The 16,055-nt window shown below is 38.6% G+C and overlaps 1 non-coding gene across 1 annotated transcript; it reads right to left on the minus strand.

The window, feature by feature from the left end:
• Window positions 1–9,609: 9,609 nt before the first annotated feature.
• Window positions 9,610–9,713, minus strand: LOC124905071 (small nucleolar RNA U13). Its single transcript, XR_007067950.1, has one exon. It is a non-coding gene; the product is annotated as a small nucleolar RNA U13 (small nucleolar RNA).
• Window positions 9,714–16,055: the final 6,342 nt, after the last annotated feature.

Genomic DNA, 16,055 nt, shown 5'->3' on the forward strand with positions numbered 1-16,055 from the left:
TTCCCCCTTTTCCACTGTAGGGCTTTTCCACTCTGCCTGCCTTTGAGTTCTTGGCCAAAATGCAACTGATGGTGGCCGACTCCCTTGTTATAGCAAGCCCTGAATAAGTAGACTTTTCTTTTCTCCTTTGGTTTATATTCATTTAGTTTCCACAGAAATAAATTCAATTACATTTAGATAATCAAAATAATAGTAAAGGCCGTTAGCAAAATGGCAAAATGGAGAGGAAAAATAAGAATCTTGTATTCCGTAAAAGTTTAAGAGGAGTTTGTTTTTCAGGATGCTTTGAATCTCCTCCATAGATCACTTCTCCAATTTTTCCTGTCACCACAGAAATTTACAATATTAATAAAACAACTCGTTAAAATTTTGAACTTTGCTACTTTCAAACTGAAAACTTTTTGAAGCTTAAGGCAGTTATTTCTGCAAAAGATGGCTTCAGGTTTATTAATTTAAAAGAATGCAGGCAGTTTTTGAAATATTATCATCTAAGTGACTTTTTTCTACATTTATAAATACTCTACTGTCCCATCATAATTAAAAGAATATGAAAAGAGTTTGAAATATACTTATAGCTTAAAACATGGAAATAATTCTTTTTAACATGAATAATTATCCCACCAGTTTTATAATCTAATAAAAATCAAAGTAAAAGAAAAATGCTAGGCATTTTAATTATGAGAAATCATATGTATTCTGGGAACTTAGAAACGTTACCCACATATTTGTACTCCAGAATCCTCATTCTAGAAATTCTTTCCTCAAAGATGTTGCAAAGAAGTGGAGCGCGTATGTGTTTTTGTCAACATGACCTAAAACTTATAAAGCTCTATATGAAGCATACCTGTTTTCAATCCAAATTTAACGGTAATTTACTTCACATTTGAACTGGGATGCAGACTAGAAATCCATAGTCTTTGCATATGCTTTTCTTATTTATTCCTCTAAAATTATAGGAATAAGATCTTTATTTATTTATTTATTTATTTATTTATTTATTTATTTATTTATTTTTGAGATGGAGTCTTGCTCTTGTCGCCCAAGCTGGAGTGCAATGGCATGATCTCAGCTCACTGCAACCTCCACCTCCCGGGTTCAAGCAATTCTCCTGCCTCAGCCTCCTGAGTAGCTGGGATTACAGGCACCTGCCACCACGCCTGGCTAATTTTTGTATTTTTAGTAGAGATGGGGTTTCACCTTGTTGGTCAGGCTGGTCTCGAACTCCTGACCTTGCGATCCACCCACCTTGGCCTCCCAAAGTGCTGGGATTACAGGCGTTAGCCACCACACCCTGCCCTGACCTTTATTATTCTTAACTCTAGGCAGAGAGAGGTAGAGGAGAGAATACTGTAGAAACTGTTTTGTGTTTTCTAACTTTTCAGGAATCACTTTAGAGTTGACTATAATATCCTTCATACATATGCATATTACTCATATTGTGATTTTTAAATTGTAAATCCTTCAGAGAATTCCCCAAATACTCCCTTTCTGGGTGTCTCCATTGGTTGATGTATTTTGAAGAAATGGATATCAAAGGTGTTCAAGGAATACTTTTTGGCAAATTGATTAAATGCAAACTGATTTTATATTAGACTCAATTTGGAAGATGAGTGTGCTGAAACAGTAAGTCACTTAACGCTTATTTTGTATTATTTGATTTACTCCTCCCTACTCTTTTCTAGAGTTAATTCACATTGACTGTATATCTTTTGATTTATTAATTATTCCCCTGCCTCTTGTGTAAAATAAGAATACCTTATATTCACCTGATCTTAGGTTTTTATGGATTGAAAGGAGTTGGAGGGCTGGTTATAACTTGGAGTGCTAGGCCGTGCCCCTAGAGTTTCTGATTCTGTGGGCCTGGGATGGGGCCCAAGAATTTATTGCGTGTATAATAAGTCCTCAGGGGATGCTGATGCTGCCAGTCTCAGGACCACACTTTCAGATCCGCTGCTATTGTGCCATCTATAAGTTAATATGAATTCCACAGCACACTTGTATGTGTGTGCCTGTGTGTGTGTGTATGTGTGTGTGTGTGTGTAGGCAGTGTTGGTGGTGGTAGGAATAGGGGTATGGTTTGACCAGGTAGGACCTGGACATAGAAAAGGTTGCAGGTATAGATCATTGTGAGAAGGCCACGGAGGTCCTGAAGGATCCCAGGTCCCAAAGGCATAAGGATGAAGGGAAGAGAGAAAGAAAAACCGACATGTTCCTGACAGCTGGATGCTTCTCCCATTTAGATTTCTCTGAACTGAAATTCTAGATGGTTTAATTACTCCATAAGGTTTGCTAAATTGCCACGTCTCAGCCTCACATACAATGCTGGTATCTACATTCTATGCTCTCAGACTATGTATTAAAACTGTGCACTGGTGGAGTAAGCTAGTTAAATATTTGTACATTTGACTGCACACAGCTACTGCTTATGTTTTCTTGTTCTTCTGCTCTATCTTAAGGAATCTGTATGAGTCAGCCAGTTAAAATGCTGGCTGGGAGGTAATTAGCTGGGAATTTTAACCCCATCATAGTCATTCACCTGCTTGAAGAATGAAGTGGATGGGTACTTTAGTGAGTCTAGCAACTGTTTCTTTCTCTGCCAAATGCAAGAAGTTCTTCGTGAGTTGCTGGATGGCTCAAATTATATTCTGGAGCTTATCCTGGAAACAGGCAAATGTCAGTCCAATGGAACATCAGCGCACATTGATATATAAAATTGCAGGTGATGAAAGGCTCTGAAAGAACTCTATGAGTCTCTGGTCTTAACGCTCTCTTAGATTTTGATGGTACATTGTCTTTTTCATTTCAACTCTGTTTTAAATTTTTTATTATGTAAATTTTTAGACATACCCAGAATTAGAGAGAATAGCATAATAAAACTTGATGGTACCATTAATTCAGTCTCAATAATTGTCAATATTTTGTCAATTGTGTTTTAGTCAGTCCCCACTCTTGGTTTCCTTGTGGCCTGATCTCTATCTGGCAGCTATTAACTCCAATTTGTTTCTTACCACCATTTCTCAGCTCGTCTCCACGTATGTAGACCTTCATCCAAGTGGAATTGTGTGAAGCCTCCCCTGGCTGTGGGAACTACATTTCCATAGAAGTAGCCTCCCTATTCTGGATCTGAATTATACCAAGAGTTCAGTGGCACATTAAATGATAATTGATTTGGAAATGAGAGGCACATATACAAAGACAATAACCAGAGCATATATAAAAATAGAACAGCTTACACCTGCCCGCCCAGAAAACCAACCCCTTGTTTCCAACAAACAGCCCAGGAAACCAGCCTGCTTTAAGTCAGAGTTGGAGGGGGTCACATGCTATCACTGGCAACAGTCTAGGAAGTTAACAGTCACTTCTGGAACAATTGGTCTAAAATGACCAGGACTTCACTAATTTTATTGGTAAATACTTTAATATGAATCTCTAGCAGATAAGGGCTTTAAGACAATATAACCACAATAGTATCACCATACTTAACAAAATTATTATTTTAAATATCATCAGTCCATGTTCAAATTGCCTTGTCTCAATTTTTTTTTTTTTTTTTTTTTTTTTTTTTTTTTTTTTGAGATGGAGTCTCGCTCTGTTGCCCGGGCTGGAGTGCAGTGGCGCAATCTCGGCTCACTGCAAGCTCCGCCTCCTGGGTTCATGCCATTCTCCTGCCTCAGCCTCCCAAGTAGCTGGGACTACAGGCGCCCACCACCACACCTGGCTAATTTTTTTGTATTTTTAGTAGAGATGGGGTTTCACCGTGTTAGCCAGGATGGTCTCGATCTCCTGACCTCGTGATCCACTCGCCTTGGCCTCCCGAAGAGCTGGGATTACAGGCGTGAGCCACCGTGCCCGGCCTCAAAAAAATTTTGAATAGTACATTTGTTCATATCAGGAGCTGTATGAGTTCCTTTGTTGATTTTGGTTGATATATCTCTTAATCCTCTATTATTATTTAACACTTTCTCTTCCCCCTTTTTTTCAAGCCATTTATTTGTTGAAAATATGTCATTTTTCCAGTTGAATTTCCCACATCCTGGTCTTATGTGATTGTATCCTGTGGTATTGTTTATATACCCCATATTTCTTGTTAACTGGCAGTTAAGTCAAGAAACACAATTAAATTTAGGTTTATTTTTTTCAGGGGGCAAAAATATTTTATGGGCAGTGTTTAAATCAACAGGCACCCAATGTCTACTTGTCCCACTTTTCATGATGCTGAAGTTGATGGGTTTAGATGTCATCATTCACCCATTATCAATTTTCCCATCAACTACCATTTATGATTCTTGCCAAAATCCATTGTCTCGGCAGGGGTTGCAAAATGACATTTTTCGAATTATTTTTCTAATAATCATTCTTTTTTAATTAGAATTCTTCTGTGGAGAAGAACTTTCCCTCACATCTATTTGGTTAACCTGAAGCACAGTTCATAAATGAGAGGCAAGGTAAATGCTGTATTCTGTACCTTTATTTATCCAATTTCAGAGCAATGAGTCCAGCAACAGCCAAAAATGATTAGTGTGGTTTTCATTTTTCAAAATATCATTATGAACTTACACATTTAATATATATATTTCTGTTATATATTAATATACTAAAAGATTTGATACGTTGTATATATCTAAAATATTTAACATATTTGAATCAATGAGTTTCAGTTGACAATCCATTGTAATGAATGCTAAATTTGTCTCCCCGTTGTTTAATAGGATTGCTCTTAAACTCAGTGTAAAACTGCTTGCCTACTATCCTGTTTATTTTTGAAATACAACTGTACTTAGTATTAAAATATTCCTATTATAGAAAATTTAGAGAATAAAGCCCCACATAAAGAGGAAAATGAAAATTACCTGTATTCTTCCCACTCAAAAAGATTCCCCTTTATAAATGTCAAATTTCCCTCTATTGTCTTGCTCTTTTATATATCATTAAATACTCTTCAACCTGTCATTGTAGTCACTCTGTCAGAAGTGCTTTCAACTACCCCTCATCTTAGCCTCATTGCACATGTCTAGCCAAACCTCAACCCTCTTCACCTCTGCACCTGTGTCTGTTACTGGAGACTATTAACTGAACCATTTCCTTCATTTGATGATCTAAAGCCTCCACAGGCATGCATTGTGACCCAGAAACCTTCTTGTGTTTCCCAGAACTATTCATATATTCTCCTCAAACCCTCCCCCAACCCTTCCCTCTTTAGTCCTCACTGGGCTATTGACCTTGTTCCACACTTCAGTGAAGTAAAAACCTTCACATGATGACTCTAGCATTCCCGATGAAAACTTAACAAAAACTCCTCTGCAGCTAATGCTCCCTTCTTTCCTCCTGGCACAATGGAGGGCATTTTCTCTCTCCTAGCAAAGTCCAGTCCCTCCCCTTCTCTGTATCCAATGCTCGTTGACCTTTTAAAACACTTCACTCTGGTTATCTTCTCTCCTTTATCAACTTGCCCTTATCATCTACTGGATCATTTCTGTAACCATATTCTAATTTACCAACCCTATCATAAAAACAACACCAACAACAAACACAGTCACTTCCTTGGTTCCCTGTCTCCCCTGTCTCCCATCCATTTCTGTATTATTTTGCATTGCCAGACTTCTCAAGAGTTGTTAACTATGTGATTTCCACTTTTTTAACTCATTTTTTTTATTCCAGTCTGGTTCCTCTCCAGCCCCGTCACTGTACTAAAATTTCTTGCCTCAGGGTCACTGGAAATCCACATAGCCACATGCAATGTACACTTCTCTGTCTTCATCTTACCCTTTCAGCAGCATTGGGTGGAGTGGGCCATTTGTTTCTCAAAATACTCTTCTCTTGGTTATCATCAGGCCATTGGTTCTCTGCTTTCCAAACTCACTGGTTTCTCCCAGCTGCTATTTCTCCTTTTAAGTGTTGACAGTATTGGGTCCTCTTCTCTTCTCCTGTTATCATTTTTCACTGGGTGGTTCCATTAATTCACAGCTTTAAAAATCTCATTATGACTCAAGACTCCAAAGTTTGTGTCTTCAACCCATTTTTTCTGAGCACCATATCCAGCTCTGCTTACTTGACAGTTCAACCTGGATGTCTTACAAACATCTCAAATTAAACGTGTCCAAGATAGAACTTCTCATTTCCCCTGCATGAATCAATTCCTCCTCTATCTGTCCTATGCCAATAAATGGCAGCATTATCCGTCGGTTGCCCAATTCAGAAATCTGAGTCAGTCCCGATTTTCCCTTTCCCATAACCCCTATATAGCAGTTGCAGCAACTCCATTTGATTGTTCCCCCTAAAATATCTTGACTGTCAACTTTTCTCTGTCTCCATGGTGAACACCCTGGCCATGGCTCATCCTTCACCTGCACTATGTCAGCACCTCGTTGAAGGGTCTCTCAATTCATACTTGTTCCTCTACAATCCATTTTCCACATTATGAGCAAGAACATAAATTAAACCTTACATTAAAACCTTCAGCGGCTTTCATTACATGTGTAATAAATCCAAACTCTGCACAAGGGCTGGATGGCTCTACAGATCCTGTCTCCTGATATCTCTCCAGCCTCAGGTTAAGCTACTCCCTACACCAGAGTCAGTCTTATTCAAACACACTTAAATCTTCCTGCCTCAGGCTGTTTGTATCTGCTGTACCCTCTGCTTAAAATGCTTTTCTCCGTACTGTTGCCATGTGTGACTTCTTATCCATTGGAAATCAGCTTAAATATTGTCATGTTGAAGCTTTTTCTTTTTCTTTTTCTTTTTTTTTTTTTTTTTTTTTGAGACAGAGTCTTGCTCTGTCGCCCAGGCTGGAGTGCAGTGGCATAATCTTGGCTCACTGCAACCTCCGCCTCCCAGGTTCAAGCGATTCTCCTGCCTCAGCCTCCTGAGTAGCTGGGATTACAAGTGCATGCCACCATGCCTAGCTAACTTTTGTATTTTTAGTAGAGAGAGGGTTTCGCCAGTTTGGCCAGGCTGGTCTCAAACCTCTGACCTCAAGTTATCTGCCCGCCTTGGCCTCCCAAAGTGCTGGGATTACAGGTGTGAGCCTGGCCCATGTTGAAGCTTTTTCTGACTGGTGTAATTAAAGTGCATCTCCCTCAGTTATTTTCTATTTTATCTTCTTGATGATTATATTCATAGCCATTTTCACACTATATAAATATTTATGATAATCATGTGTTGCATAATAAGAGGGATACGTTCTAAGAAATGCGTCTTTGTCATTGTGCAAACATCACAAGTGTATTTACACAAACCCAGATGGTATAGCCTACTACACACCTAGCCTATGTGGTATAGCCTATTGCTCCTGGGCTACAAACCTGTACAGCATGTTACTGCCCTGAATACTGTAAGCAACTGTAATACAATGGTATTTATGTATCTAAACGTAGGAAAGGTATAGTGAAAACATGATATTATAATCTCAGGGGACCACCGTTGTATAAGTGGCCTGTCTGGAATGTCATTATGTGATGTGTGGCTGTATTTGTTTTTTTTTTTTTCTGTTTTCCATCCTGAATGTGTTACAGGAAAGGGGTCCAGATCCAGACCCCAAGAGAGGGTTCTTGGATCTCACACAAGAAAGAATTCAGGGTGAGTCCGCAGTGCAGAGTGAAAGCAAGTTTAAGAAAGTAAAGGAATAAACGAATGGCTACTCCATAGACAGAGCAGCCCCAAGGGCTGATGGTTGCTCATTTTTATGGTTATTTCTTGATGATATGCTAAACAAGGGGTGGATTATTCATGCCTCCCCTTTTTAGACTGTATAGAGTAACTTCCTGATATTGCCATGGCATTTGTAAACTGTCATGGTGCTGGCAGGAGTGTAGCAGTGAGGACCACTCTCGTCGCCATTTTGGTATTGGTGGGTTTTGGCCGTTTCCTTTACTACAACCTGTTTTATCAGCACAGTCTTTATGACCTGTACTTTGTGCTGACCTCCTATCTCATCCTGTGACTTAGAATGCCTTAGCCATCTGGGAATGCAGCCCAGTAGGTTTCAGCCTCATTTTGCCCAGCCCCTATTTAAGATGGAGTTGCTCTGGTTCACATGCCTCTGACAAATACAATCTTCGTGAGAGTCAAGAATACATTGCTCACTTTCAAATCTTAGTGTTTAGCTTAGTGTCTGGCACATGGTACACTGTAATCATGTGTTGTATTAATAGAATAATTCTACATTATTGTTTTTAGTGGCAAACGTTTTCTGAATTCTTACTGTTTACAGACCCAAGCCTGGTTCTTGAGAACACACTGTTGAATAAGACAACATGGCCCTGTTTTCAAGGTGCTCCCATCTACCAGAGGGTACAATTGTGTACCTAGGCAGATACAAAATAAGCATGCTTTTGTACAAGTAGATTCAAAATCATATAATGCAATTAATCTCATAGGAGAAGTATAGGGCACTTTTGGATACAATAAAAAGGACACCTTTGGGGGCACATTTATTTTAATAAAACTCTCATTTGACACAGGCTCTTTCCAATTTTTCACTATTTTATACATCTTTATAGATGTATATTATGTATAATCTATACATAGTCCCTAGAATGGAATCTTAGGACTTACTGGGTCAATGGTCATTAAATAATTTTGAAACTTGGGATTTCACCTCCAAGTTTTGCTTTTCTAATATTAAGTGGCATATTTCCTATTTCAAAGTGTTTTTGCCATCATTGGCAAATTTGAAAATTTGACAATTTGTATGAGAACAATAGTGTCTCATTATTTTAATTTTAACTACAATGATTATTAGTGAAGTAAAACTTTTCTTGAACCTGTGTTTGCCATTTTGTATTTGTCTCTCAGATTGCTTCATGTTCTTAACTTATCGTTATATTAAGGCGTTCATCTTTTCCTTGATTTATAACATTTCTTTATATGTTATAGAAACAATGACATTACGATATATGACTTTATTATATCATTATATATGATAGTGCTAACTTCATTATCATATATGGTCTAAGTATATTTTCCCAGATCTTCATTTACTTTTAATTTTTGTTATCTTTATGTTTTTGATGTTGAAGGATTACATATTTAATCTTTTAAATATCAAAGTTTTAATTTAGAACTTCTTAGAAAGACTTTTTCTGCCTAAGATTATGAAAATAATCATCCATCATTTACTTCTAGCACTTACCTGTTTTCATTTTTTCATGGTTGAAAATTAATTGGTTTTTCCAAAGAACATTGCTCTTTACACACTTTTTCTCCCTAATTTGATCTGCTAAAATTATTTGAATAAAGATGGGAATCCTCAATTTTTAGCTGCGCAAAGACCAGAGGCCCTCCTGAATGGTCGTTATTAATTTTCCATGCTCTTTTGTGGAATGTTTGGCATATGACTGAGTTACAAATAATGGATGAAGGCTGAAGTCATAGGTATAACTTCCAGAAAGTATACTTGGAGGGTAGGTATTATGCATCTTTCTCCTTTTTCCTTTCTGCAGGGTAAATTCCAGACATCATATTTTTAGCTGGAGAATCCATATTGGCAAAGGACCACACACACTAGTATAGCAATGCAGGAAGCTCAGCATATCTGGGGTCCCCAGTGACTGTGGAACTTCTATGTCCGCCCAGACTGCCTGCTTCTGACTTTCCCCCACTTTTTTATGTCAGATATTTAATGTGCTAATGATGTAACAAGGTTTGAGGGAGGCACGTCTCACTCATGAGCATGCAAACCCAATCATCACACTTACGAACCACAAAATGGTCTAATTCTGGATTTTTTAAAATAAGAAATCAAAACCACATGTTTTAAAGCCACTATTAATTTAGTTTATCTTAGCTATTTCAATATCATGTTATTTAATAGTTTGTATTTTTACTCTACTTCGCAGTTTTTATTGTCTTATATTTTCTGATTTTGAGCCATATTTTGTTTGTTTCAGTTTCTCATGATGTGGAAGTTACATATCCTCCTCAGAGTCTTCTAGTAATTGACTTTAAATTTTAAAGATACATTCTTTAACACATTTTTCTTTAGTTATCAAGGAATTTGATCATTTGTCCTCATTTGAAATAGCATGATAAATTTATTGCACTTTTATATTTGTCTTCTACCATGCTAGACTTTGCTAATACAACCCATGTAATTACTCTTACATTATTTATAAGAATTTCATGTATTTTTTCTTTTTAAGTTTACTTTGTATCATTTGTATTTGTGTTTGTATTAATGCTTATTTAGATTAAATTCACCACAGTAATAATTTCAGTTCTTGATACTATTTATTTTCTAATACAATGCTCTCAGGCTTGTGATCTTAATTTTTCTTTCCATCTCTCTTTTTTTTTTAATTTGAGACAGGGTTTTACTCTGTTACTCAGGCTGGAGTGCAGTGGCGCAGTCTGGGCTCACTGCAACCTCCACCTCCCGGTTCAAGCAATTCTCAGGCTTCAGCCTTTGGAATAGCTGGGATTACAGGCGTGCACCACCACGCCAAGCTAATTTTTGTATTTTTAGTAGAGGGGATTTCACCATGTTGGCCAGACTGGTCTCAAATTCCTGCCCTTAAATGATCTGCCTGCCTCGGTCTCCCAAAGTGTTGGGATTACAGGCATGACCTACGGCACCTGGCCTCTTTCTTTCTTTTCTTAAAGACATTTTTAGGATTTTTTTTTTCCCAAGAAAGGTATTATTATAAGCCCGTATATAAGATCTTAGGTGTTTAAAAATATTTTTCCTGTTGTCTGAATTGAAAATTCTTACGTTCCACATTGTTTTCCTTAAAACTCTGTAAACATTTCCTGTGTGTGTATGTTTGAAACTTAATGCTATATGGAAGTATAAGATCATCTTGACTTCGTTTTTTCTTAGTGACCAGGTTTTTTCCAAGTGAATGTTTACAAGATGTCTTTCTGTTTTGTAGTTATAAAATAGTTTCAGAATGCTTTATGTGTAATTTATATATTCATCTATTTATTTTGTGGATCATGGGGAGTGAGTCTTTTTGCTTGCACAGTTAAGGCTTTTTCAGCTCAAATACATTTTCTTTGTTGATGATTTTGGTTATTGCTTTGCTTGTAATTATCTTGGTATTCTCCTAAGAAAGACACTAAATTATTTAGTTGGCTTTCCAAACTCTCCTTCAAGATCATCATCTTGCTCGTCACTTGTATCTTTGTTTTTCCCTTTTCTTTTAAAAGGTTCTGAAATTTGCCCTTCACCAGATGCCTTTGATTTGTCATGGTGACATCTGCTTTTCATGTGCTCTTTTTCCCTGCTATTATTCTTTCAGTCTCTCTCCTCTGCCCTTCCTGCGCACATCATCTGCCTCCTTTTAGTAAGTAGTGTGTTATTATTATGATTTTAAAATCTCAGCTTGAGATTTAATTTAATTTCATCTTTTCATCTCTTCTTGAGTTCATGTCAACCTATTCACTTTTTGTGACTCCTTGAAGAAGCCAGGCTGTCTTGTGGCCCGTTGAAAGCACCTAGTTTCCTACAGCTTAATTCTGGTTCTTTCAGTAGATAATTTTCAGAGATTGGTTCTGTCTCTGAGTCTATAGTTGTTGTTCCCTTTTTCCTTAGTCTCATATTGTTTGCAAGGCCCCATGCTCTCTTTTAAATATTTTAATTTAATTTTATTTTAAGTTCCAGGATACGCGTGCAGAACATTCAGGTTTGTTACATAGGTATACATGTGCTATGGTGGTTTGCTGCACCTATCAACCCGTCATCTAGATACTAAGCCCCTCACGCCTTAGCTATTTATCTTGATGCTCTCCCTCCCCCTCCCCCACTCCCCAAACAGGCCCCAATGTGTGTTGTTCCCCTCCTTGTGCCCATGTGTTCTCATTGTTCAGCTCCCACTTATAAGTGAGAACATGGAGTGTTTGGTTTTCTGTTCCTGTGTTAGTTTGCTGAGGATAATGGCTTCTAGCTCTATTCATGTCCCTGCAAAGGACATGATCTCTTTTCTTTTTATGGTTGCATAGTATTCCATGGTGTATATGTACCACATTTTCTTTATCCAGTCTATCATTGATGGGCATTTTGGTTAATTCTATGTTTTTGCTGTTGTCGATAGTGCTGCAGTGAACATACATATGCATGTATCTTTATGATAGAATGATTTATATTCCTTTGGGTAGATATCTAATAATGGGACTGCTGAGTCACATAGTATTTCTGGTTCTAGGTCTTTGAGGAATTGTCACACTGCCTTCCACAATGGTTGAACTAATTTACATTCCCACCAACAGTGTAAAAGCATTCCTATTTCTCCACAGCTTCACCAGCACCTGTTGTTTCTTGACTTTGAGAATTGTTATTCTGACTGGTGTGAGATGCTGTCTCGTTGTGGTTTTGATTTGCATTTCTCTAGTGATGTTGAACTTTTTTCATTTGTTTGTTGGCTGCATAAATGTCCTCTTTTGAGAAGTGTCTGTTCGTGTCCTTTGCCCAGTTTTTTTTTTTTTTTAAGTATTTATTGATCATTCTTGGGTGTTTCTCGGAGAGGGGGATGTGGCAGGGTCATAGGATAATAGTGGAGAGAAGGTCAGTAGATAAACACGTGAACAAAGGTCTCTGGTTTTCCTAGGCAGAGGTCCCTGCGGGCTTCCGCAGTGTTTGTGTCCCTGGGTACTTGAGATTAGGGAGTGGTGATGACTCTTAAGGAGCATGCTGCCTTCAAGCATCTGTTTAACAAAGCACATCTTGCACCGCCCTTAATCCATTTAACCCTGAGTTGACACAGCACATGTTTCAGAGAGCACGGGGTTGGGAGTAAGGTTATAGATTAACAGCATCCCAAGGCAGAAGAATTTTTCTTAGTACAGAACAAAATGGAGTCTCCTATGTCTATTTCTTTCTACACAGACACAGTAACAATCTGATCTCTCTTTCTTTTCCCCACATTTCCCCCTTTTCTTTTTGACAAAACCGCCATCGTCTTCATGGCCCGTTCTCGATGGTCGCTGTCTCTTTGGAGCCGTTGGGTACACCTCCCAGATGGGGCGGCTGGGCAGAGGCGCTCCTCACTTCCCAGACGGGGTGGCCGGGCAGAGGCGCTCCTCACATCCCAGACGATGCTTTGCCCAGTTTTTAATTTTTTTTTTTTTGTAAATTTGTTTAAGTTCCTTGTAGATTCTGGATATTAGACCTTTGTCAGATGGTTAGATTGTAAGAATCTTCTCCCATTCTGTAGGTTTTTTGTTTACTCTGACAGTTTTTTTTCTGTGCAGAAGCTCTTTAGTTTAATTAGATGCCATTTATCAATTTTAGCTTTTGTTGCAGTTGCTTTTGACGTTTTCCTCATGAAATCTTTGCCTGTGCCTATGTCCTGAATGGTATTGCCTAGATTTTTTTCTAGGGTTTTTATAGTTTGGGGTGTTAAATTTAAGTCTTTAATCCATCTTCAGTTAATTTTTGTATGAGGTACAAGGAATGGGTCCAGTTTCAATTTTCTGCATATGGCTAGCCAGTTTTCCCAGCACCATTTATTAAATAGAGAATCCTTTCTCCGTTGCTTGTTTTTGTCAGGTTTTTCGAAGATCAGATGGTTGTAGATGTACAGTCTTACTTCTGAGATCTCTATTCTGTTCCATTGGTCTATGTGTCTGTTTTCATACCAGTACCATGCTGTTTAGGTAATTGTAACCTTGTAGTATAGTTTGAAGTCAGCTAGTGTGATGCCTCCAACTTTGTTCTTTTTGCTTAGAATTATCTTGGTTATACAGGCTCTTTTTTGGTTCCATATGAATTTTAAAGTTTTTTTTTTTTTCTAATTTTGTGAAGCATGGCAGTGGTAGTTAAATGGGAATAGTACTGAATTTACAAGTTACTTTGGGCAGCGTGACCATTTTTGTGATATTGATTCTTCCTATCCATGAGCATGGAATGTTTTTCCATTTGTTTGTGTCCTCTCTGATTTCCTTAGCAGTAGTTTGTAGTTCTCCTTAAATAGGTCCTTCACTTCCCTTGTTAGCTGTATTCCTAGATATTTTATTCTCTTTGTAGCAATTGTGAATGAGAGCTCATTCATGAGTTGGCTCTCTGCTTGTCTATTCTTGGTGTGTAGAAATGCTTGTGATTTTTGCACATTGATTTTTTATCCTGAGACTTTGCTGAAGTTGCTTATCAGCCTAAGAAGCTTTTGGGCTGCCCAAGCCCCCTTTTTTTTCCCTCCTTAGTCATAAAGGAAAAAACGATCTAGATTTGGCATCTTCCATAGAAAAGAGGAATAGGTATGTTTGCCTTTCTCACATGGACAGTCGAAGGCGAGTCTTTGTGGGTAGTCCCATCTAAAGTGTCTAGGAAGCTCCTGTGGACATGGTGCTGGCGTACTGAAGTGGGATCTTCTACTCCTGCTTGATTTTCTGACCTTCTGAGAGTGAGATGGTAAAAACTGAAATCTCCAGCATGGTCTGCCACTAGAACCTTCATTCTTGCCCTGCCTGCCCCACAGTGCTTAAAATATTAGAACAATATTGCTATTGCTCAAGAAAGAACCACTTCTGCTAGTGCCAGTGACTCGCTGTTTCTTGAAGGAGTTACAAGCTTTGAAAACATGCAGGAAAATGATGAGGTAGAAACATTCTGATCACCTCAAAACAGTACCTGTTCAGTAGTGAAGCCACAGCTTTTTTTTTTTTTTGGTTATTAGCTAGGGCAGACTGATATGGACATTCAAGATGCCATTCACTTTATTTGGACAAAGCTGGGTGGACTACAGATTGATTTTCACAATTCCACTCCACCTAATTCATGATGAGAAATTCTAAAGCCAGGTATGGTGGCTCACACCTGTAATCCCAGCACTTTAGGAGGCTGAGGCAGGAGAACCACTTGAGCCCAGGAGTTTGAGACCAGTCTGTGCAATATAGCACGACCTAGACTCTACCAGAAAATCAAAAAATTAGCTGGGTGTGGTGGTGTGTGCCTGTAGTCTTAGCTACTTGGGAGGCTGAGGCAGGAGGATCCTTTGAGCCCAGAAGGTTGAGGTTGCAGTGAGCCCTGATCATGCCACTGCGGTCCAGCCTCAGTGACAGAGCAAGACCTTGTCTCAAAAAAAAAAAAATTTTTTTAAGTAATTAGGGTGTTATTTTTTGCCTGTATAAAGTGTTTTAGCAAGACTTTGGAGGGGGTGCTGTAGGGGGTGTTAACTGGGTACCCTTTAAACAGGAAAGTCCCCATGATGTCATTTCTGGATTAAAAGGTATGCATATGTAATTGACATTTCTTGAACGTTCATAATTTGCCAAGTACCATGCCCACTGCTTGATAAACATTATCTAACTTAATCTTTATAATAACCCTATGAAGTCAATGTTATATGGTTTCTATTTGCAGATGAGACACTGGCATAGGAGGGTCAAGTAACCTTCCCAAGGTCATTGAATTAAGGGTAGGAGGCCACATGGTGAGGGTTCTCATGAATGCCTTCTGGCTCCAAGTACATGGCCTTATAAAAAGTCCTCCTCAAACCCAGGTACCTGGAAGATAGAAAGGACTTTCTTTTTTCTTTTCTTTTTTTTTTTTTTGAGATGGAGTTTCACTCTTATTGCCCAGGCTGGAGTGCAATGGCATGATCTCGGCTCACCACAACCTCTGCCTCCCAGGTTCAAGCAATTCTCTTGCCTCAGCCTCCAAAATAGCTGGGATTATAGGCATGCACCACCACACCAGGCTAATTTTGTATTTTTAGTGGACATGGAGCTTCTCCGTGTTGGTCAGGCTTGTCTTGAACTCCCGACCTCAGGTGATCCGCCCGTCTCAGCCTCCGAAAGTGCTGGGATTACAGGCATGAGCCACTATGCCTGGCAGAAAGGACTTTCTAATAACTTTCTATTGTCTTTAATTTTGGAGAAGTGGCTCTTCCTCATTGCTATAATTTAAATGCATTTGTTACAGAGCAAGTTTTCTACTCATAGGCTGCCTCTTTTAAGGGAGGCAAAGGGAGCTTCCTTTAATCATCCCATTATGAGACAATTCTTTTGACTTAAAATTTGCTGCAACCTGTGACCTGGGAAGAGACCATCTAGGCACCACTGTTTATCTTCTACCATCTCATTTCTAGTCCAGCCACCCGGGAGTGAAGTGATCTGAATCT

This window comes from Homo sapiens, chromosome 21 (assembly GCF_000001405.40).
Source record: "Homo sapiens chromosome 21, GRCh38.p14 Primary Assembly".
Classification (NCBI taxonomy): Eukaryota; Metazoa; Chordata; class Mammalia; order Primates; family Hominidae; genus Homo; species Homo sapiens.